Raw genomic sequence first — 24517 nt, forward strand, 5'->3', positions numbered from 1 at the left:
TACAAAAATTAGCCGGGCAATATGGTGCGTGCCTGTAATCCCAGCTACTCGGGAGGCTGAGGCGGGAGAATCACTTGAACCCGGGAGTCAGAGGTTGCAGTGAGCCGAGATAGCACCATTGCACTCCAACCTGGGCTACAGAGTGAGACTCCATCTCAAAAAAAAAAAAAAAAAGGCCAGGCACAGTGGTTCACGCCTATAATCCCAGCACTCTGGGAGGCCAAGGCAGGTGGATCATAAGGTCAGGAGTTCAAGACCAGCCTGGCCAATATGGTGAAACCCTGTCTCTACTAAAAAATACAAAAATTAGCCAGGCATGGTGGCACGTGCCTATAGTCCCAGCTACTCAGGATGCTGAGGCAGGAGAATCGCTGGAACCCAGGAGGCGGAGGTTGCGGTGAGCCAAGATGCTCTACTGCACTCCAGCCTGGGTGACAGAGACAGACTCCATCTCAAAAAAAAAAAAAAAAAAAAAAACGAAGAAAAAAAATCAATTAGTTCACATGAAGGTACGAGAAATATACAAAAGAGTCAAAATAACATTTTTTCTTCATTTACTAAACTTTTAGGAGTTTCTGAAGAGGAGTGCCTTTTATTTTGCTTCTCCTTTTCTCTAGTTTGATTGTTTCACCAATAGCCAGCACTTATTTTGCACATAAAGTTTCAGGAAGCCCTTTCTCAGCCGGACTTGCAATTGGAGTATTATCAACTCACAACCTAAGATCTGGTGTTCCCATTGGTAGATTCTTGGATTCTTGCTAATGCTTATGTCTTCCTATTCCTGGTCATTTTCCCTTCCCCAAATGGGACTCAGAGAGGAGAGAGAAGGTAGCCAGCTCTTTGCTGATAATGTGGGAAGGAGTTTATCTGTATTAAATATAATGTGGGTTTCAAATAGCTGAGTGTTCAGTCTGTTCCTTCCTCCCCCATTCCCAACCTCACCACCCCCCACCCCGACCTCTGCAAAGGGGCTCAAGAAAGAACAGTTGCCTTGTCTGTGGTTCACATGATCACGGACTGTGTGGGTTGACCAGACTTAGATTTGTTTTGTCTCTTTAGCCAAAGTGTTCTGATGTGAGGAATGGGGGTGGAACTTGATAGAGATACATACAATTTCTTTAGGTCAAAAAAACAGGCAAGAAAGAACTCACTAAGTCTTGCCCTGCAAGTATCCAGGAACCTCTCCCACCAGTTCTTTCATATTCCTCTCTTAATTCCTTTTTTCCTTCTAGTTCTGCCATCCCCTTCTAACTAGCTTCTGTTCTGTTTTAATCATCCCTTTCTGATAGGAAGGGTTAGTGTCAGATATCCTGATGGTTTGATGGTGGAAGGAGACTAAGTAGAAGACTAAGCAGAAGACTGGGATCTTGTAGAGCAGCTGGTAGAGGGTGTGCTCCAAATCCTCAAAGACTAGATCAGAGGAGAGACAGGCCACACCTGCTCTTTCTCCAGCTGTGCCTTTTTAGTTGGAGCTCCTAGAAGTTATAGCCATACATTTTAAAACCCTCTTTCCCATTCCAGATCTCCAAATGAATTCAACTGTTTGTCCAACCTTCATTAGATAGATCTCTAAGATTTCCCTGCATAGGGAGGCCCTAATCCTTTTCTTCTGGTTTCTGAAAAGAGCAGAAAACTGCCTGGCGCGGTGGCTCACGCCTGTAATCCCAGCACTTTGGGAGGCCGAGGCAGGTGGATTACTTGAGGTCAGGAGTTCGAGACCAGCCTGGCCAACATGGTGAAACCTCATTTCTACTAAAAATACAAAAAAAAATAGCTGAGTGCGGTGGCGCACGTCTGTAATCCCAGCTACTCTAGAGGCTGAGGCAGGAGAATCGCTTGAACTCGGGAGGCGGAGGTTGCAGTGAGCTGAGATCACGCCATTGCACTCCAGCTTGGGCAACAAGAGTGAAACTCCATCCCCCCCAAAAAAAAAAAAGCAGAAAACTACAGAATGAGAAAATGGAGTCTTCACCTGCCCACTCATTGAGCTGCAGAGAGTAGCCCTCAGCACTCATACCCAGTCTCCTGAGTCATGAAAAGAGTTGCCCTTCAACCAGCCACTTCCACCTGTAGGCCAGGGCCCCAAAAGAGACATTTCCCCAAGGTTTTGAGAAATGATGACCAGGAAGGGAAGGGTTGACTGGCTGTGTGGAGAGTGCTCAAAGCTTTCCCTGCACCTTCTTCACTAGCCCTGTCTTGTCCCCATACACTGCTCATGCACCAGGCATCATGCTCCAGGAAGGGGAGATGCCAGCCCTGGGTGGATTGGTGGTGATATAGTGCATGATTGTTCATCAGCATGTGTTCTCTGAGGCCAGTGCTGGAGTTGGGGCATCCTGGCACAGCCCCATGCCCTCTCCTCCCTCACCCTTCTCTCCACCCACCAAGCCAGCTGGTGCTCCCTAGCTCTCTGACCCCTCTTCACGTGAGCTTCCTTACAGGTGGCTGGTTTCCCTTTAGATTCCAGAAGTCCTGCAGTCTAGCTGGATGACTGTTTCTTGCTCCCCAAAAGACATTTCCCATATTTTTTCCATCTACCCATCCCCAATTCACTTTTATCTTCCTCATTGTTTACCTGTAACAGTATTATTGGTCACCCCAACAGGTGAGAGGAAAAGCCAACAAACAGGGCTCCAGACCCTCACTCCAACCCCAGTTGTTACAAATTTATTTTCTATAGTGGACTTCACATGTAATTTTTTCCAACAAAGTATTCAATTGAATGGAAGCAGGAAATTGAAAATCACTGATATTGAAGATGATGTACTGGCGGATAAAGGCACCTGCCCTCCTGTAATATTCAGTAGAAATTTTGAGATCTTGAAAACATATGAAAAATGTGGGCTATGTTATCACTCCTGACAGTGATGGCTTTGATGGAGTGGGATGACTTTGGACCCATCTCTTGGCCAGTGTATCTGTGCCAGGGTCAAAGGAGAAGGCACTGGGTTTGGACTCACTCAATCCAAATTGCCTTGCTCTGAGATTTTATGTAGATCAGTGAAAACTTGAGACTTCCTGAAGACCAGATGGAGCCTCCATTCCATCTGATCTCACCTAGATCTGGAGCAAAGGCAACATGATAGGTAAAATTTGCACATCAGATGGTCAAATAGGAATCAGATAATAAAAATGTGGTCCTCGCTGTCTGTTCAGCATGGTGAGTGTGTGCCTGTGCTCCCTGATTCTTCTTGGCTGAGGTGTTGAGCTGATACTGTTGAGTGGCAAGGAGTCCTTTGCCTTCTGAGCTTTGAGCACCCTCAGTCTTGGGTGGGTCTGCAGGCTGTAGTAGAGTGGGACGAGATAAAGAAAGCCTTAGCCAGCAGAGACACATTCTCCTCCAGAGAAAACGGACCAACAGTATTGATAGTGAGCCTTCTTTGAGTGGTATTTATGAAGGTTCTGTATGGTGGTAGGAAGCACTGGAACAGGTGATCCAACCAGTTTATTTGGCTGACTCTCTGTATCCTCTGCTGTCTCCAAATTCTTGTGTCTTCTCCTGGAATATATTTTTGGTTAAACAGCAGAGGAATGAAAGAGGTACCCTACCCCCACCTTCATCACTCCTACCCCTCCAACCTCAACAGTTTCCCCCACATTACTCCCATTTCTTTTCTGAGTGAAGATTTTTTGGACAAGACTAGGATCAGCCACCTTCCAACAACTAGAACCGTCCTACAACCATTTACCTTTCCCCTGGCCCCTCTCTCCAACTTCTCGGAGCTCCAACCCTCTCCCCCTACCCCAATTCTACCATCCCTGATTCTAAGCCACGCCTCAGAGAGACCTGCAGTTCAGAAAAGCAGAGCTGCCAAAATTGCTGGTGCCTGTGGACAAGCAAAAGCTGTTCACAGGCATCAATTATTGTCAGTTTTTTCTTGATGACTCTGAACTGACCGAATCCCTTCCTTTTTGCGCAGTAAGACAGAGACTATGACACTGGGCAATGCATCTCCTTTTGCCCAGTAAAACCGCACGTGGTTTCCTTTCCTTCATCCTCTTCATCCACCCCATCAGAAAGGCCACTTGTTTGTAGCACTGCCTCCTGGATTAGGTTTCTCTCCCTGGTCCCTTTCATTCCCTTCTCCACATAAGACTATGCTCCTCTTCACAATTTGGAAACAGCTAGAGAAAGCAGCATGATTGGGCACAGTTGCTGTGTATCAGAGACATGAACGTGCATTTGAATTATGAGAGCCAGGTCTTTTCTCAATAGGCAGGAGGAAGGCATCTTTTGACACCTGTATTTTATCTGCTGCTTCTAGGGAAGGGGCTGAAGGAGTGAAGTTCTGTGTTATTTGCGGGGAGGGGACACAGTGGTGGTTGTGGGATATAAAAATATGCATGTTTCCTGGCTGAAAGGGCAAATTATTATTAGAGAGTTTTAAGTTCCTGCATGCTGCTGACACAAATGAAGATTGGTTTGTCTGCCTGGCTGCACAGTTTTCATGGTCACTCGTCACCCAACCTGTATTATGTGCAGATTGGTGTATGCTGGCTCTTTGAGGTCTTTAAACAGATAACTAAACCTCAATGCATAATTTTTCCATTCCACATTCACAAAATGTTTGGCCTCAGCACAGAAATCCACATATCTCAATCATCTTTTTAAGTTTGGCTATGAATTTGCATCTAGTTCCCATGTCCTTGCCCTCCATCTAAAAGAACTAATGAAACTTCTTGTTTTCTGTTTCATTTTAAAAGTAGATTGTTTGGGAATGCTAACGTTGCTTTGGGTTTTCTACTTTTTTTAATGCAGCTTTCAAAACGTCCTAGTTGCCGTCACTCACCCCAGCCCACCCCACTGCTTGAAAGTTGAGCCATGTGATGTTTCTAGTGCCCCATGATCTCTTCTGATGTGTGTTTGGTTTTGATGCTGAGCAGTCATGTTTTATAGTCTGGGTTTTGTTTCTCTCCTAAATCCACCATCTCCTTGTTCTGCCGGCCAATTCTCACCTCTCTATTTTCTCATCCTCCTTTTCCTTCCCCTGGTATAGATCAAAGTGGTCAAAGCGTTCCATAGTTCCCTCCACGAAAGCATTCAGAAACCCTACAACCAAAAGTCCATCCACAGCTTCATGACCCACCCTGAATTCGCCATAGAGGAGGAGTTGCCACGAACACCACTCCTGGATGAGGAAGAGGAGGAAAATCCTGACAAGGCTTCTAAGTTTGGGACTAGGGTGCTCCTGTTGGATGGTGAGGTCACTCCATATGCCAATACAAACAACAATGCGGTGGATTGCAACCAAGTGCAGCTCCCCCAGTCGGACAGCTCTCTACAGAGCCTAGAGACATCAGTTTGAATTTTCTTTCTCTGACTCTCATCCCTATTTTACCTATTTCCATTTTCGTCTATCCCATCTATGAGGTGATGATGGGACTTTTCATTGTCACGTCAGCTGCTGTGTTAACAGCAGTGTGTGTGAAGTGAACCTCTACCTGACCATGAAGAGGCAAGAGCACAGACTTACAAGGATTTCAACTTAAGCTTGACTTGGGGTTTGTAGCGGGACCCAGTCAAACCCCATTCAGGTCATGGTAGAATCTACTCCTTGGTAGTCACTTGTCATTTTTAAAGAAATGATGACAATCCTCTTGGCATCACCCCACCCCACATTCTCCCCGATGTTCCTCTCCTGAATTCTGGATTTTGTCCTACAAGTCTGTGCCATTTATAAGCTAAGTTGAGGGTTCAGAGGGAGACAAATATCCCCAAGTGAAATATGTTGCGGTAGAGATGGAATGTATAAAATCCGCCAGTAGTGTGATTGTTTTTCAATTTTTCCCACTTTGAAAACTTACACCTAAAGGCCTGTAGGCCTCTAACTCTTTCTGCCCTTTCATTCAAACCTCTCCAAAGTTCTTTGTCTTTTGTCTTCCCTTCCTTTCCTTTTTTTTTTTTTTTTTTATGATGATTAAGAAAATGGAAAGGATATGGATGAATTGTGTAAACTTAGATCCTTCTCCCTTTTGGCCCAAAAGAACCCTTGATTTAGTTCCAGAATCCAACCAGTTTCTTTGTTAAAAGGGTCCTTTTGAAGCAATTAAGTGCTGGTAAGAATATTTCTCTGTTGTTGCCAGGTTACCTTCTGCTTTTAAATTGCCATCTTGTAAAGTGTATGTGGTTCTTAAGTGCCAGGGAGATCAGCCTTGCCCATGAAGGTTGCATATGTGTGGTATACAGTTTTTACCTGAAAGCCTGAGCTTTCTCTTATTCCTAAAGTGGTGGCAAAAGAATGAACTGGGTATGACCCTGCCCCCTTACTGGGCTTGGATATTGAGGACCAGACGCTGCCAAATCTAGGACAAGACAGACCATCAAAGCAGACTTTTGTGGGCTCCTCTTTGGGGTGACCACTGCTTTCAAAGCCATCTGCCAAGGCTCTCCAGGGCAGGACCTGACTGGTGGGGAATGAGTGTTCAGAAGCCTTGGGAGAGGCCAAAGAGCCATTCTAGCATGATCTGAGAAAACCTTCCTGCAGAGGCCAGAAACCTTGAGCTTAGGTGCCTGGGGACCAGCTTCGACATTCTCTCCAGTTTCTGATTCTAATTTTTGCCACGTGTCACAACTTTTCCAGTCTCTGAGAAGGTCCCAGCCTTTCTCAAATATTCTGATTTTGAAAATATGTATCCAAAGTGGGAGGCCCCTGTGACATTTTGCCAACTTAAACGAGAAAAAGACCCCCCGCACCCGGCACACTCCCCCTTCCTCCAGCCCCGCTTCAGCCACATGCTCCAGCTGCTGCCCAGTAAAGCCCTGTGCCTTTTTTTCCCCTGAATACTGCCCAAAGCATCCCCTTCCCATCTGCCTCTCAGGAGTTGGGGACTTTGCTAGGAGATTTTTTAAGTGTTCCTTACTGGGACAACGTGGAGCCACGTTTGCAGGAGCTCCATTTGTATCCCTGCTGGTGTTGACTTCTGTGTAGGGGCCAGTTCATGTCCCTGACTCTCACCTCCCATTAGATAAATGAAGCCCACCCCCCTTTCTAGAGTGATGAGAGTCAAGAAGAGGGGATGTATGAACGGCCAAATTCCCATGTGAGAGGAAGATGACCTGATCCACCTAGCCTTTTCTTCTGGATCTGTCCTCCCTCACCCCTTTCACCTGAGCTGTCCACAGTAGGAAACATAAAGAAACAATGTCCCCTACATATCCCCATGACTACATAATCCATCATCGTAGGAAATAGGAAAGCAAATTTGATTTTGGTTTTGTAAAACGTACATGCTTCAATAATTCTTTTTTGTGTCTTAAATACTCATAGGGGAAAAAAACAGCTCACCCAAGGTGTTAGGTTTCACATATATATTCATCAACTATTTTAGAAGATTTAATTCTATCAAATCTTGTATTACCTCAGATCATTTTAAATAGCAAGCCAATAACGAGCTTTGAAGGCTATTTTACCATTCCTGTTCACAAAAGGTTCTCATGGTGCCTGACAGGTTACCCTTGAGGGCTTGTGTCTACTTTTTAAAAGTCAATGGTTTTTTTTCTTGTGTTCTAGTTTCCATAATAGGAGAGAAAATATAGAAATATATGCAAAAATTATAGTTTTCTTTAGATCAGAAACTGATATTTTTGGGTCAGCCATATGTATTTTGTTTAAAGGATTTAAAATAAAGTGCCGTCATGTAGCCCTGTGGAAGGGAGCACATAACCAGCTGTTTGGCATGACAGGTGACTTAGTATATTTGTAATTGGTTTTAAAACCAATACACCATACTTTCTTTCTGCAAACAGCCATCTTTATACTTAGGGAAGAAAAATTGTTGGGTTCTAGACTTTTTTAATATAAATTTTGTTGATATGGAATTAGGTAAGTTTAAGTGTCTATGTGCATATGTTTTTTATATAAGTTTTTTCTATTCAGTTTCACTGATCCAACTGGCAGTGGGTAAATATGGCATAAGTTAATAACACTTTTCCCCAAAATGGTGCTTTGGATTTGAAAAGGGTCTGATGGGGAGAAGGAGAACGTATCATCCTAGCTTCCTCTCTTAATAAACCTAGAAAAACGGGTAGTAAACTGTGGATAGTCAGGAAAACACCCAGCAAGGGACACAGCTGTCAGGAAATGAATCTTCCCCCCAACCCCCACCATGCAGATGGATAGACAGAATCTTTCCTGACTAGTCATTAGGATCAGGGGCCTCTGTTGGATTTGTGTTTCTTGAAGAATAGCTGGCAGAGTGGTATAAAAGACACGAATATCTCCTGGTCTATAAGGATACTCTGATTTGGGGTTTGCATTTTTCATGGTTTTTATTTCCTGTTCCCCCTGGAGTTTTCCATTAGTGAGTTTTTGTGCAAGGATCTTATTTGTGATGCCTTCCCTCCCCTAGAAAGATTTTGTGCAATATATTAAATGGGGACAGAATTCTAAATGGATAAAACAATGGCTGGTTCTAGCCCTGAGTGACAGTCTTAAGGCTAGATCCTTCCCATAGTATCATCTGTCCTCTGGAATGACTCTCCTGTCCCTAAAGGGGTTAAGAGAGAGATCACCTAGAAATCCCTCTGGACACTTGTGGGTTCTTTAGGGTTTGAGTTTCTTCTTCCCCTTGAGCTTCAGAGAGGAGAGTTGGCATGGTTAAATCTGAATGGTTACCTCACTGCTGAAAACCCAGAGGGGCGTGGCACACTCGCTTGTGTGGAAAAGCCTCTAAATGCATCCCTTCCTTTCTTTCCTGCTTCCTTTGCCTTACAATTGAAGCAGCCCGTGGTACCATCACAGTATGCAGAGACTTCCTCACCTTTCATATCTAGGGACCACCCCCGATGCATTGGTGAGGGTGGGCACTTATAAATGCCTGCTATTGTTAAGCCATTCCAGCCTCTTCCTCTGAATAGACCAGACGCCCTTTCACTTAGTTCAGTGCCAGTCCTTTTGCCTTCCCAACCCTGCTGTTAGGCCTGCTGTTCCCTTTGCTCTTGATTAGGAGAGATGGAAGGAGATGAGCTCCCATAACTGAATTGGCCTTTGGTTCATGTTTTCTCCCCATATGTATATATGCCATATGTGAATATGCCATATATATGTGCCAACAAATCTATCTACGTTGTTCTTTTCAAATTAGCACGCAGATAGGAATTTTGAGTTTCTTCTTCTTTTAGTAACTAGTATAACAAGCACTGGTATTTTTGTACAAAAAAGAAAAACAAAAGATTGACTATTGTGGTCTGCATGACATAAACAAACAAATGGTGATATCAAAGCAACGTATACCCCAGTCCAGTGTGTGTTGCCATAATTTGCAATTCAGCTTAACAGTGCACCCAATCTATATTTGCATTTTGATATTATTTAAGCTCTATGTACAAGGTTTTGCATGTATTTATATGGTTCTTAGGGAAAAAAAATGCTATAAACTGCAAATCTGAAATTCAAATGTGTTGTTCCACTGAGACCAGAAGAAGAAGAGGAGTTTTAAAAGGGATAATTTGTTGGAGCCAATAAAGCTTTTTGCTGATGAACAGAAACCAATACTGCTGTGCACTGAGAATAAAAACTCATGCCCACTTGTAACTGTGCTGTCCTCAATGCGTCTCCACTTTTGGGTAATGCCACTGATTGTCTGTTGAAGTTGAGAAGGGAAATGCCGCAACCACAAGGACAACCCCATTTAAACAGGCACAGAATTCAGCTTACCACCAGACTCTGACAACGCTTCCCTTCCCTCTGGGCCTTCGCATTGGCTTCATTCCCTTGCAGTGCAAGCTGTGCTCCACCCACCTTGGTTAGAATCCACAGTTCAGGAGCTGGAGCTTTTGGAAGAATAAGAAAGAGGCAGTCTTGGCAGTCCTTGCTTTTTTTCTTTCCTTTTTTTGTTTTTTGTTTTTTTTGGTTTTGGTTTTGGTTTGTTTTATATGAAATGTCTTTTAGGAGAAGTAGTTTCCCTTACATTAGCCGCCTTTCCCTTGGGTTCTCCACCCTCCCCCTCACTTCCCTATGGTTTAAAAAATGTCTTTCATTAATTGAGTCTTGCTAGAGACTCATATTAGGCCCCAGTTTCAGGTCAAAACAGCTTCCTGGCAGGTCATTTACATTCTGAGCTTTCATATCTGAGACAACTCCTTCCTGCAGCTCTCATCCAGGTGCACGACGAAGTTCCCCAACCCTCTTTTAAAATATCACAGGGAGGAGCCAGGCACAGTGGTTCACACCTGTTGTCCCAGCTACTGGGGAGGGGAAGGGGCTGAGGCGGGAGGATCGCTTGAGCCCAGGAGTTCAAGTCCAGCCTGGGCAACATGGCAAGACCCCATCTCTAAAATACACACACACACACACACACATCATAAGGAGGAAAGGACCTTGTCCACTCCCCAAATTCCTTTAGGAAAAGCATGACATTGAAGAACGCCCCAAACTCTCCTGGCTATTTTAATAGTCTGGCTCTGAAAGAGGATCTAGCCCTGGTTGAAAAAGACTTATGGCCGGGTGCAGTGGCTCACGCCTGTAATCCCAACAGTTTGGGAGGCCAAGATGGGTGGATCACCTGGGGTCGGGAATTCGAGACCAGCCTGACCAACATGGAGAAACCCCATCTCTTCTAAAAATACAAAAATTAGCCAGGCATGGTGGTACATGCCTGTAATCCCAGCTACTCGGAGGCTGAGGCAGGAGAATCACTTGAACCTGGGAGGCAGAGGTTGCGGTGAGCCAAGATCACGCCATTGCACTTCAGCCTGGGCAACAAGAGTGAAACTCCATTTCAAAAAAAAAAAAAGAAGGTCCGAGCGCAGTGGCTCATACCTATAATCCCAGCACTTCGGGAGGCCAAGGCAGGCGGATCACCTGAGGTCAGGGGTTCGAGACGAGCCTGACCAACATGGAGAAACCCTGTCTCTACAAAAAATAAATTCAGCCAAGCGCAGTGGCTCATGCCTGTAACCCCAGCACTTTGGGGGGCCAAGGTGGGCGGATCATGAGGTCAGGAAATTGAGACCATCCTGACTAACACAGTGAAACCCCATCTCTACTAAAAAATACAAAAAACTAGCCGGGCGTGGTGGCAGGTGCCTGTAGTCCCAGCTACTCGGGAGGCTGAGGCAAGAGAATGGCGTGAACCTGGGAGGCGGAGCTTGCTGTGAGCCGAGATCATGCCACTGCACTCCAGCCTGGACAACAGAGCAAGACTCCGTCTCAAAAAAAACAAAACAAACAAACAAAAATACAAAAATCAGCCGGGCGTGGTGGTGCATGCCTGTTATCCCAACTATTCAGGAGGCTGAGGCAGGAGAATCACTTGAACCTGGGAGGTAGAGGTTGTGGTGAACCGAAGTCACACCATTGCACTCCAGCCTAGGCAACAAGAGTGAAACTCCATCTCAGAAAAGAAAAGAAAAAGACTTAAATGATCTGAGATCTTATCCCCACTTTTCTTTTCTGTCCTAGGTTGCTCTCCACAGGCATTGAACACATTGCCCACTTAGTTTCTTTAAAATAGGGGATGGAGAATAAATAATGAACTTAACAAACAAAAATGAAAATAGGCTGGGCACAGTGGCTCACGCCTGTAATCTCAGCACTTTGGGAGGCCGAGGTGGGTGGATCACAAACTCAAGAGATCGAGACCATCCTGGCCAACATGGTGAAACCCCATCTCTACTAAAAATACAAAAATTATCTGGGCATGGTGCCATGCGCCTGTAGTCCCAGCTACTCGGGAGGCTGAGGAAGGAGAATTGCTTGAACCCAGGAGGCAGAGATTACAGTGAGCCGAGATCGCGCCATTGCACTCCAGCCTTGCAACAGAGCAAGACTCCGTCTCAAAAAAAAAAGAAAGAAAAGAAAGTCTGCTTTTTCCATTGTAGTTTCCCTCCTAAATACTCTTGCTGAAAAGGATGTAACACATATGAACCCCTATACGGTCCTTTCTAAAGCTTGGCCCTCTATTTCTTCTCTCACCCCCACTTTGTGTTTGTTGGACCATAGATCTGTGCCTCTCTGCCATGCCAAACAGAGGATCTTAAGGATCCACGTCTCTTAACCCCAGGATATGGTAAGGAATGGTGAAGAATGAACCTCCTACGTATCATTCTGGCAGAGACCACTATATCCTAAGGTGTTGGCTCAAGAGAATGTAAAGGCCAGCTCAGCAACTTGGACCTAGGTCACTGTATGGAAAAGAGCATACTCTGTTCTTCCATTCTTTTCCCTTACCCCAGTTCTAGAAAAGAATAATAGCTTTGCCTTCCATCTTTTCTTTTTCTTTTTTTTTTTTGAGATGGAGTTTCACTCTTGTTGCCCAAGTGGGAGTGCAATGGTGTGATCTCGGCTCACTACAACCTCTGCCTCCAGGGTTCAAGCAGTTCTCCTGCTTCAGCCTCACGAGTAGCTGGGATTACAGGCGTGCGCCACCATGCCCGGCTAATTTTTTGTATTTTTAGAAGAAACGGGGTTTCACCATGTTAGCCAGGCTGGTCTCGAACTCCTGACCTCAGGTGATCCGCCTGCCTTGGCCCCCGCAAAGTGCTGGGATTACAGGCATAAGCCACCACGCCCAGCCTGCCCTCCATCTTCAGTAATGGTTTGTGAGTCTCCCCTTTCTCCACTAGTCCATATCGTCTCCCTGCGGTCATCAGTTTGAAGCTCTCTACCAAGCCCACCTGGTTCCCCCAAAGTATACACATGACCAGGCAACTCCCTGACCTACTCTGTGGTGAATCCAAAGAAGATGACTCCTTGGGTTCCAGTGAGATATTTACCAGCCCCTGACCTGGGTTTGTTAAAGCGTGGCCTTCTTGTCACTACAAGCAGGAAGGAGAATGAGAATGGCATGTCCTTCACCAACAAATAATTGTGAAGCTTTGTTGTAAATAATACATGTAAACATGTTACCATTTCTGTGCAGGATCATTAACATCCAGTTACCTCCACCATGAACCTAAGCCATGAGAGGTACTGACCTATTAGATTCATAGACAGAAAGCTTTCAGCTTGAAAGGTAGCAGCTTCTGGGTTCTGGGCTTGCCTATGTCCTGATGTACAACCAATCATAAACAAGTCTTTACTTCTCTGACTCTTTTCAAATAATACTTTCCTGGCCCAGCATCATCTCCCTGTCCTCAGAAGACATGCACAAAACAGAGATCAGTCTCTTTAGAATGGCCTCCCGCTGCCTTCTAAAAGGCTGGTGGCAAAACAAGAATGCTAGCTCGGAAGGCAGTGGTTCATGCCTGTAATCCCAGCACTTTGGGAGGCTGAGGTGGGCGGATCACCTGAGGTCAGAAGTTCAAGACCAGTCTGGCCAACATGGTGAAACCCTGTCTCTACTAAAAATACAAAAATTAGCTGAGCGTGGTGGTGTGCACCTGTAATACCAGCTACCCGGGAGGCTGAAGCAGAAGAATCCCTTGAACCCAGGAGGCGGAGGTTGTAGTGAGCCAAGATCACGCCACTGCACTCCAGCCTTCCAACATAGGTGACAGAGCAAGGCTCCATCTCAAAAAAAAAAAAAAAAAAGAATTGAAATAATCTACATATTTGGATAGCCAGATTACAATCAGAAATTTAACTTCTGCTCATGAACTCTACGCAAAGGGGAAATAATAGAACTGTCTGAGTGGCTAGTGCCATTACACTCACAGGGCATATATCTGTCCCTACTCCTTTTTTTGTTTTTGAGACAGGGTCTTGCTCTGTCACCCAGGCTGGAGAGCAGTGGCATGACCAAGGCTTACTGCAGCCTTAGACTCGGCTCAAGTTATCCTTCCATCTTAGCCTTCCAAGTAGCTGAGACTACAGGCATGCACCACCATGCCTGTAATTTTTTTTAAGAGATGGAGTCTTACTATGTTGTTCAAGCTGGAGTCAATCACCTGGCCCCAAACTATCCTCCCACCTCAGCCTCCCAAATGTTGGGATTACAGGCATGAGCCACCATGCCTGGCCTGTCTCTACTTTAGAATAGAACTGGGCCCTGTGTTCAAGCTTAAGCATCACTTGATTTCTCTGGTGTCTCCTATAACAGAGGACATATAGACCATCTCCTTTTAGCACATTCTTTTTCCAAACACAGCACAATTGATTTAAGCTTTCTTGCTATGCTAGACCCAGGAAGACTGCATTGAAAGACTGATTTGTGTTTTATAACTCCAGATCTTCATGTCTTCACCTATTTAAAGCAAGTATATATGATAACTCATTTGAAAGAGGGAGTAAGGCTGGGAAGAGCTGGACTGGTACCTACAGATTGCCTTTAACCATGCTTAAGAGAAGAACAAATATATCCATGATCATCCAAAACCCTTTATTTAAGTCAAGAATTCCTGCATCTGACCAGCCTGGCCAACATGGTGAAACCTCATCTCTACTAAACTTACAAAAATTAGCTGGGCATGGTGGCTCATGCCTGTAATCCCAGCTTCTCTGAAGGCTGAGGTGAGAGGATCACTTGAACCCAGGAGGCGGAGGTTGCAGTGAGCTGAGATTGCACAACTGCACTCCAGCCTGGGTTACAAAGATAGATCCTGTCTCAATAAATAAATAAATAAATAAATAATAAAAATAAAAATAAAAAATTCCTGCTGGGCGCAGTGGCTCATGCCTGTAATCCCAGCACTTTGGGAGGCCAAGGCAGGCAGATTGCCTGAGCTCAGGAGTTCAAAACCAGCCTGGGCAACATGGCAATACCCTGTATCTACTAAAAATACAAAAACTTAGCCAGTCGTGGTGACAGGCACCTGTAATCCCAACTACTCAGGAGGCTGAGGCAGCAGAATCACTTGAACGTGAGAGGTGGAGGTTGCAGTGAGCCGAGATCATGCCACTGCACTCCAGCCTGGGCAACACAGCAAGACTCTCTTTCCGAAAAAAAAAAAAAAAGAGAGAATTCCTACATCTTTCCTATCAAACCTTTTGAATTGAGCTGCTGCTGCTGACCGGGTAGGAAAGGAAGGCGTTTAAATGTTTCTCTGCTTACTCTTTGATCGAGGAGCTAAAATGGCAAAATTAGAGTAAGATTCTGATGTGCAGCTGATTGGAAGGCAGGAGACACATGCCCTGACCTCAACTCTGCTTCTTGACCAGCTTGATTTCCCATGTGTACAAGGAGATCATTAAAGTACATCATTTTCAAATTACATTTTGAAGATCAGAAAGGAACTCCTGAGAGATAATTTAGGGTCGACAGGCGTTCAACAAAAATAGCACATTTTTAAAACGTTTTTGGGCCAGGCACGGTGGCTCACACCTGTAATCCTAGTTCTTTGGGAGGCCGAGGCGGGTACATCACTTGAGGTCAGGAGTTCGAGACCAGCCTGGCCAACATGGTGAAACCCTGTTTCTACTAAAAAAAAAAATTAGCCAGGCGTGGTGGCACATGCCTATAGTCTCAGGTACTTGGGAGGCTGAGGCTGGAGGATTGCTTGAACCCAGGAGGCAGAGATTGCAGTGAGCTGAGATTGCATCACTGCACCCCAGACTGGGAGACAGAGTGAGACTCCATCTCAAAAAAAAAAGAAAAAGAAAAAGAAAAAATGTTATTGGCTTCCAGGTCAGCTATAGCTTTTAAAAAATGACTTTAAAACACTGACCAGCTGGGTGCAATGGCTCAGGCCTGTAATCCCAGCACTTTGAGAGGTCAAAGCAGGAAGATGGATTTAGGCCAGAAGTTCAAGACCAGCCTAGGCAACATAGTGAAACCTCATCTCTATTAAAAATTTTGGCCAGGCATGGTGGCTCACGCCTGTAATCCCAGCACTTTGGGAGGCCGAAGTGGGCAGATCACCTGAGGTCAGGAGTTCAAGACCAGCCTGGCCAACATAGCGAAACCACGTCTCTACTAAAAATACAAAAATTAGCTGGGCATGGTGGTGGACGCCTGTAATCCCAGCTACTCAGGAGGCTGAGCAAGAGAATTGCTTGAACCCGAAAGGGGTTGTAGTGAGCCAAGATTGTGCCACTGAACTCCAGCCTGGGTGACAAAGCAAGACTCCATCTCAAAAAAAAAAATTAATTTTTAAAAATTAGCCAAGCATGGTGGTGCACACCTATAGTTCCAGCTACTCAGAAGGCTGAGGTGGAAGGATCACTTGAACCCAGGAGGTTGAGGCAGCAGTGAGTTGTGATGAGGCCACTCCAGCTGGAGTGACAGAACAAGATCCCATTTCAGAAAAACAAAAACAAAAAACACTAACCTAGTTCATCCTTAAAGTCCCTGCCAACTCTGAAATGCTATGATTGTAATTAACAAAACAAACAGTCCAAAGTTGAGTGGTAATATAACAAATTGTGTTCAAGCAAACAAGCAAGCCTAACTTGGATCCTGTCTCAATTATCTGCCACTACCATTATCAATGCATGCACAGGTAAAATTCAGCAAAGCTTAATGACTGTAGTCTAGCCTGCTGAGACTATTATCTAGCTGATTCTGCAGTGGAATGATAACCTTCTGCGTTGAAATTTATGATGGAAAGAGCAGTTGTTTGGGAATGCAGAGATCTAACCCAGTGGAATGGCATAAAATCAGAGAGGAGAAGCGAGGTGTCTCATCCAAGGTGTCGTGGAAAGAACTTGGTCTGGGAATTAGAAGGCCTCTGTTGTAATGCTGACCCTGAACCTAGCTTGCTCTGGAACCTAAGGGTCTTTCCAACTCTGACACTCTTTCCATTCTTGCTCTCACATCTAATTGCTATTAATAACCACTGAAGAATGTCTACATAAAATTTCTCTTTCATTGCTTTATCTCCCTGGAATGTAGCATTATTGTGTGTGTATAGAACGTGTACTGCATACCAGAACATGTGCCGGCAGGCTTCACATCAGGCTCAGCCACTTGTATCTGCAACAAAGACAAATTTATCCACACCCCTAAAGTGCAAATATGTTTCCTTTTTTTTTTTTTCCCCTGCAGAGGGAGATTTGCTGTTGTTGCTCAGGCTGGAGTGCAATGGCTCCATCTCGGCTCACTACAACCTCTGCCTCCTGGGTTCACAGGATTCTCCTGCCTCAGCCTCCCGAGTAGCTGAGATTACAGGCGTGTGCCACCACACCCAGCTAATTTTTGTATTTTTAGTAGAGATGGGATTTCTCCATGTTGGTCAGGCTGGTCTTGAACTTCTGACCTCAGGTGGTCCACCCACCTTGGCCTCCCAAAGTGCTGGAATTACAAACATGAGCCACAGCGCCCAGCCTCTTTTTTTTTTTTTTTGAGCTGGTGTTTCACTCTTATTGCCTAGGCTGGAGTGCAATGGTGGGATCTTGGCTCACTACAACCTCCGCCTCCTGGGTTCAAGCAATTCTCCTGTCTCAGCCTCCCAAGTAGCTGGGATTACAGGTGTGTGCTACCAAGCCCGGCTAATTTTTTTTTTCTTTTTTTCTTTTTTTGTTTTTTTTTTTGGTTTTTTTTTTTTTTGGTTTTTTTTTTTTTGTATTTTTAGTAGAGACAGGGTTTCACCATGTTGATCAGGCTGGTCTTGAACTCCTGACCTCAGGTGATCCGCCCACCTCAGCCTCCCAAAGTGCTGGGATTACAAGCATGAGCCACCACACCAAGCCTCCTTATTTTTTTCTAAATCAAATCTAGCACTGAACTAGCTTGCACTCACCAAGATCAGTGAGAGGTCTCTCTTTAGTCATTTTTTGTCCTCTTGTCTCCTCCCCCTTGGATATTGATCCACTCACTCACTCATTTAACAAGTATTTATGGTGCCAGGCACTGCGGATAAACAGAATAAAGTCCCTTACCTCTTAGAATGTAGTCTTGTGGAGGAGAAACAAACAAGTAAGCCAGGCATGATGGTGTGTACCTGTTGTCCCAGATACTCAGGAGGCTGAGGCAGGAAGATCACTTGAGCCCAGGAGTTCGAGGCTGCAGTGAGCTATGATCACATCACTGCACTCCAGCCTGAGGGACAGAATGAGACCCTATTGCTAAAAAATTAAAATAAATTAAATTTTAAAATTTAAAGAAACAAGTAAATATACAGCATGTCAAGTGGTAATAAGAACCAGGGAGGAGGCCGGGCGTGGTGGCTCATGCCTGTAATCCCAGCACTTTGGGAGGCCAAGGTGGGTGGATCACCTGAGGTCAGGAGTTTGAGACCTGCCTGGCCAACATGATGAAACCTTGTCTCTATTAAAAATACAAAAAATTCGCTGGGCGTGGTGGTGTGCGCCTGTAATCCCAGCTACTCGGCAGGCTGAGGCAGGAGAATCACTTGAACCCAGGAGGCGGAGGCTGCGGTGAGCTGAGATACACCATCGCACTCCAGCCTGGGCAACAAGACTAAAACTCCATCTCAAAAAAAAAAAAAAAAGCGGGGTGGGGGGCAAGGCGCGGTGGCTCATGCCTATAATCCTATCGCTTTCGGAGGCCAAGGTGGGTGAATCACCTGAGGTCAGCAGTTCGAGACCAGCCTAATCAACATGGCAAAACCCCATCTGTACTAAAAATACAAAAATTAGCCAGGCGTGGTGGCAGGTGCCTGTAATCCCAGCTACTTGGGAGGCTGAGGCAGGAGAATCACTTGAACCTGGGAGGTGGAGGTTGCAGTGAGCCGAGATCACGCCACTGCACTCGAGCCTGGGCAACAGAGACTCCATCTCAAAAAAAAAAAAAAAAAAGAAATAACACCCCGGTTAGTAAGTGAAATGTTCTACTCACTCAAGACAGGCACCAAAAAGAATGCCTTCACCTGTGCCTTCCCTGTTCTGGTCCCCCACTCCTGTTGTCACATTCACTGTCTGGTCCCCAGGCAGGCCCTCCACCCTCCTCACCTCCATGGAGACACGCTGTGCCCTCATCTAAGTCCTGACGTGACTAATGACCCTGCCCCCTCTGCTAAGGAGTGCCCCCTTTCTGCACAGCTCTGGGGTCCGAATCTGTGTGTGTGTGTGCTTGAAAGAGAGAGGCTGGCTCACTCACAGTGGGCTGTTCGCACTCACTCCCTCTGGGCTGAGGGACAGTGTGGGGCTGCTCGCAGGTATTTGCTCATCCCTACACGCCTCACAGCTACCTCCGCATTGTGGCTGTGCAGCTGGTAGGTCTCAAGGGACACTGGGGAGGCTGCCAAACAGAGAACCCCAGAAGGAACAAGGAGGCAGAGGCCTGCTTTGCTCTCGGGGCACCAGACTTAAGAAAAGGGTTCTAGGCTGGGTGCAGTGGCTCACGCCTGTAATCCCAGCACTTTGGGAGGCCGAAGAGGGCGGATCACCTGAGACTGGGAGTTCGAGACCAGCCTGGCCAACACGGCGAAACCCCATCTCTACTGAAAATACAAAAGTTAGCCGGGCGTGGTGGCAGGCGCTTGTAATCCCAGCTACGTGGGAGGCTGAGGCAGGAGAATCACTTGAACACAGGAGGCAGAGGTTGTGGTGAGCCGAGATCGCACCATTGCAACAAGAGAGAAACTCCATCTCAAAAAATAAAAGAGAAAAAAAGAAAAGAAAGAAGGAAGGAAGGAAGGAAGGAAGGAAGGAAGGAAGGAAGGAAGGAAGGAAGGAAGGACGGAAGGAAGGAAGGAAGGAAAGAAAAGAAAAGAAAGAGAAAGAAAGAGAGAAAGGAAAGAAGAAAGAGAGAAAGGAAGGAAGGAAGGAAGGAAGGAAGGAAGGAAGAAAGAAAGAAAGAAAGAAAGAAAGAAAGAAAGAAAGAAAGAAAGAAAGAAAGAAAGAAAGAAAGAGAAAGAAAGAAACAGAAGAAAAGAAAGAAAGAAACGGTTCTCAGGCCGGGCGCGGTGGCTCATGTCTGTAATCTTAGCACTTTAGGAGGCTGAAGCGGGTGGATCACCTGAGGTCAGGACTTCAAGACCAGCCTGGCACATGCCTGTAATCCCATCTCCTTGGGAGGCTGAGGCAAGAGAATCACTAGAATCTGGGAGGTGGAGGTTGCAGTGAGCTGAGATCGCATCATTGCACTCCAGCATGGGCAACAAAGTGAGACTCCATCTCAAAAAAAAAAGAAAAGGGTTCTCTTACCCATCAGCAGTACCAACCCACCTCTTCCATTAGGGTTTGGCCTAAGCGGGGGAACAGAAACTTCCTCTAGTCTGCTCACACACTCTTTGCTTGCAAATACATACTCCTCACTCTTCTCAAGGGTCTCGGGTAGAGAGGGGACAGGGAGCAGAGAAATGTTTCTGTACTTTTCTAAATCTTTCTTTCCTAACCCCGGTCTCTCACAACTTTAACTTCAAAAGGAGGCATTTGCTGCCTTTGTTTTCTGTTTCAGACTTGTCTGGACTGGAGAGGCCTCCAGGATATATGCAAATACATGAGGAAGGGTGGGTGGGGGTTGCCACCATTAAGGCTTCCTGTGTCTTCTTCGTATCATAGTTGTCCCAGCCCTCAAACCAAAAACAAAGTCTGATTAGGATTGTCTTTCACACAGGACAGTTTTGGCATTTTTTTTTTTTTCAAGACTGCGTCTTGCTCTGTTGCCCAGGCTGGAGTGCAATGGCATGATCTCAGCTCACTGCAACCTCCGCCTCCCAGGTTCAAGCAATTCTCCTGCCTCAGCCTCCCAAGTAGCTGGGACTACAGGCACACACCACCATGCCCAGCTAATTTTTATATTTGTAGTGGAGACAGAGTTTCACCATGTTGGCCAGGCTAGTCGCCAGCTCCTGACCTTGTGATCCACCTGCCTCGGCCTCCCACAGTGCTGGGATTACAGGTATGAGCCACCATGCCCGGCCCAATTTTGGCATTTGGAAGCACAGAAATGCTGGGTGTGGTGGTTCATGCCTGTAATCCCAGCACTTTAGGAGGCCAAGGCAGGCGGGTCACGAGGTCAGGAGATCAAGACTATCCTGTCTAACAGCGTAAAACCCCCGTCTCTACTAAAAATGCAAAAATTAGCCGGGCATGGTGGCGCATGCCTGTAATCCCAGTTACTTGGGAGGCTGAGGCAGGAGAATCACTTGAACCTGGGAAGAGGAGGTTGCAGTGAGCTGAGATTGTGCCATTGCACTCCAGCTTGGGCAACAAGAGCGAAACTCCGTCTCAAAAAAAAAAAAAAAGGAAGCACAGAAATACAAAAGCTACTGGGTTTTTTTGTTTTTTGAGGCAGGGTCTTGCTTTGTTGCCCAGGCTGGTCTTGAACTCAGGCTCAAAGTGATCCTCCCACCTCGACCTCCCAAAGTGCTGGGATTACAGGAGTGAACCACCATGCCCGGCCGCAAAAGCTACTGTTAACACTTTGGTAGGGCAAAGGAGACCCAACACAGGGCGCAGGTTACCCTTCCTATGAGAATAGAGAGGACAGTCTTTTTTCTTTGGCTAAGGAGAGCACAGCAGGAAAAAACATTAGCTGCTGATTTTTTCCTCCATGGCCCATCCTATTGTTACTGGAAAGGGGTCCCAATCCTGACCCCAGAAGAGGGTTCTTGGATCTTGCACAAGAAATAATTTGGGGTGAGTCCATAAAGTGAAAGCAAGTTTACTAAGAAAGTAAAGGAATAAAGAATGGCTACTCCATAGGCAGAGCAGCCTCCAAGGGCTGCTGGTTGGCTACTTTTTAATGATTATTTCTTGATTATGTGCTAAACAAGGTGTAGATTATTCATAAGTTTTCTGGCAAAGGGGTGGCCAATCCCCAGAACTTAGGGTTCCTCTCCTTTTTAAACCATATAGGGTCTGATGTTGCCATGGCATTTGTAAACTCTCACGGCACTTGTGGGAGAGTCTTTTAGCATGCTTATGAATTATAATTAGTGTATAATAAACAGTGAGAATTACCAGAAGTTGCCACCTTGGTTTAGGGCTTTTTTACCACATGCGGTTTGTGTTTTTTTTGTTGTTGTTGTTTGGTTGGTTGTTTTGTTTTTGTTTTTGTTTTTGTTTTTGACGGAGTCTTGTAGTCTTGCTCTGTCACCAGGCTGGAGTGCAGTGGCACGATCTCAGGTCACTGCAACCTCTGCCTCCTGGGTTCAAGTGATTCTCCTGCCTCAGCCTCCCGAGTAGCTGGGACTACAGGCATGCACCATCACGCCCAGCTAATTTTTTTGTATTTTTAGTAGAGACAGGCTTTCACTGTGTTAGCCAGGATGATCTCGATCTCCTGACCTCATGATCTGCCCACCTCAGCCTCCCAAAGTGCTGGGATTACATGTGTGAGTCACTGCGCCCGGCTACATGCTGTTTTATCAGCAAGGCCTTTGTGACCTGTATCTTGTGCCGACCTCCTATCTCATCCTGTGACTAATAATGCCTTAACCTCCTAAAAATGCAGCCCAGTAGGTCTCAGACTTATTTTACCCCTCCCCTATTCAAGATGCAGTCACTGTGGTTCGAACACCTCTGACACCGTCACACATTTATGTCCCAAATTCACAGCAGCAAGGAGCACCTAAGAGACCTTTTCAGATGGCCCAATTAACTCCTGTGGTCAGGCACTGTGCTAAATGCCAGATATGCAATAAATAAAACATAGCCCCTGCCCTCAGGTTCTCAAAGTCTACTTGGGGAGACAAACATTTAAACAAATAACTCCAGCGACTTGAGAGATGCTCTCACAAAGATGCATGCACAGTGTGATGGGGGCACAGAAGAGGAAACCCAGGTCTCAGAAGGGAAAGGCTCACAGAGGTGGTGGTACTTGGGGCACATTTTTTAAAATAATAATTTTGGTTTATTTTTGTTGTTGTTTCAGAGACAGAGTCTTGCTCTGTCACCCAGGCTGGAGTGCAGTGGTGCAATCATAGCTAATCATAGCTCACTACAGCCTCAAATTCCTGGGTTTGAACAAACCTCTTGCCTCAGCCTCCCCAGTAGCTGAGACTACAGGTGTTTGCCACCATGCCTGGCTAAATTTTACAAAAAAATTTTTAGGCCAGGCACGGTGGCTCACACCTGTAATCCCAGCACTTTGGAAGGCCGAGGTGGGCGGATCACAAGGTCAGGAGTTCGAGACCAGCCTGGCCAACATAGTGAAACCCCATCTCTACTAAAAATACAAAAAAAAATTAGCTGGGCATGATGGTGTGCGCCTGTAATCCTAGCTACTCAGGAGGCTGAAGCAGGAGAATCACTTGAACCTGGGAGGCAGAAGTTGCAGTGAGCCGAGATTGTGCCACTGCACTCCAGCCTGGGGGTCACAGCAAGACTCCATCTCAAAAAATAAGAAAAAATTTTTTTAGAGCAGAGGTCTTACCATGTTGCCCAGGTGCAATAGATAGTTTTTTTCTATAAAAATGACACTCAGCTGGGCGCGGTGGCTCATGCCTGTAATCCCAGCACTTTGGGAGGTGGAGGTGGGCGGATCACCTGAGGTCGGGAGTTCGAGACCAGACCGACCAACATGGAGAAACCCTGTCTCTACTAAAAATACAAAATTAGCCGGGCGTGGTGGCCCATGCCTGTAATCCCAGCTACACGGGAGACTGAGGGAGGAGAATCGCTTTAACCCAGGAGGCAGAGGTTGCGGTGAGCGGAGATCGCGCCATTGCACTTCAGCTTGGGCAGCCAGAGGGAAACTCCGTCTCAAAAAACAAAAAAGCACTCAATCTTTGTAAAAGTTCAAGCAGTTAAGAGTCCAAAGAAGAAAGTAACAAAACACCTCAGCCCCATAACTGAGAAAGAGCCAGTATAAAGTTTTAAAGTGTGACTTTACTGGAATTTTACATGAGAAAAAGAAGCTGCTGTTAAAATGAAGGAACTTAGGCCCAGCGCAGTGGCTCACACCTGTAATCTCAACGCTTTGGAAGGCCAATGCGAGCAGATCACTTGAATTCAGGAGTTTGAGACCAGCCTGGCCAAGATAGTGAAACCCCATCTCTACTAAAATAGACAAAAAAATAGCCAGGTGTGGTGGCACACACCTGCAATCCCAGCTACTTGGGAGGCTCAGGCATGAGAATTGCTTTAACCCTGGAGGCAGAGGTTGCAGTGAGCCGAGATCATGCCACTGCACTCCAGCCTGTGTGACAGAGTGAGACTCTGTCTCAAAATAAATTAACGGGCCGGGCGTGGTGGCTCACGCCTGTAATCCCAGCACTTTGGGAGGCCGAGGCAGGTGGAACACCTGTGGTCAGGAGTTTAAGATCAGCCTGACCAACATGGAGAAACCCTGTCTCTACTAAAAATACATAAATTAGCCAGGCATGGTGGCACACGCCTGTAATCCCAGCTACTCGGGAGGCTGAGGCAGGAGAATCACTTGAACCTGGGCGGAAGTTGCAGTGAGCTGAGATAGCGCCATTGCACTCCAGCCTGGGCAACAAGAGAGAAACTCCATCTCAAAAAAAAGAAAAATTAACTAAATTAAATTAAGGAACTCAGTGGGGTGTGGTGGCTCATGCCTGTAACCCCAGCACTTGGGAGGCTGAAGCTATCAGAGGCATGTGAACCAGGGCAACTTCATCTTGAATAGGGGCTGGGTAAAATGAGGCTGAGACCTATTGAGCTGCATTCCAAGTCAGTTAAGACATTCTAAGTCACAGGATGAGATAGGAGGTCAGCACCAGATACACGTCATAAAGATCTTGCTGATAAAACAGGCTGCAGTAAAGAAGCCGGCCAAAACCCACCAAAACCAAGATGGTGACAAGAGTAACCTCTGGTCATCCTCA

The 24517-nt window shown here is 45.9% G+C and overlaps 1 protein-coding gene and 1 long non-coding RNA gene across 3 annotated transcripts in view, besides 2 other annotated features; one reads left to right on the forward strand and one right to left on the reverse strand.

Moving 5' to 3' along the window:
- ATP2B4 (ATPase plasma membrane Ca2+ transporting 4) overlaps positions 1-9533 on the forward strand; it is a 117250-nt gene extending 107717 nt beyond the window's left edge. For both annotated transcript variants that reach the window (NM_001001396.3, NM_001684.5), the window contains one exon: positions 4998-9533. In NM_001001396.3, coding sequence (NP_001001396.1) covers positions 4998-5023 — 26 coding nt within the window. In that variant the 3' untranslated portion in view covers positions 5024-9533. The remainder of the gene's footprint in view (positions 1-4997) is intronic.
- On the reverse strand, positions 2646-10011 carry LOC102723543 (uncharacterized). The gene is made up of 2 exons (XR_426890.4): positions 9657-10011; positions 2646-3499 (listed from the first exon to the last, which is right to left on the reverse strand). It is a non-coding gene; the product is annotated as an uncharacterized LOC102723543 (long non-coding RNA).
- Positions 18379-18980: an enhancer, noted in NCBI's record as "H3K4me1 hESC enhancer chr1:203722055-203722656 (GRCh37/hg19 assembly coordinates)". NCBI's record gives its function as "activates a minimal SCP1, AML or CMV promoter by ChIP-STARR-seq in naive H9 embryonic stem cells {active_cell/tissue: H9 hESC(naive)}" and the evidence as "EXISTENCE:reporter gene assay evidence [ECO:0000049][PMID:30033119]".
- Positions 19962-20221: an enhancer, noted in NCBI's record as "active region_2354". NCBI's record gives its function as "activates an Ori minimal core promoter by ATAC-STARR-seq in GM12878 lymphoblastoid cells {active_cell/tissue: GM12878}" and the evidence as "EXISTENCE:reporter gene assay evidence [ECO:0000049][PMID:35858748]".

This window comes from Homo sapiens, chromosome 1 (genome assembly GCF_000001405.40).
Source record: "Homo sapiens chromosome 1, GRCh38.p14 Primary Assembly".
Taxonomy (NCBI): Eukaryota; Metazoa; Chordata; class Mammalia; order Primates; family Hominidae; genus Homo; species Homo sapiens.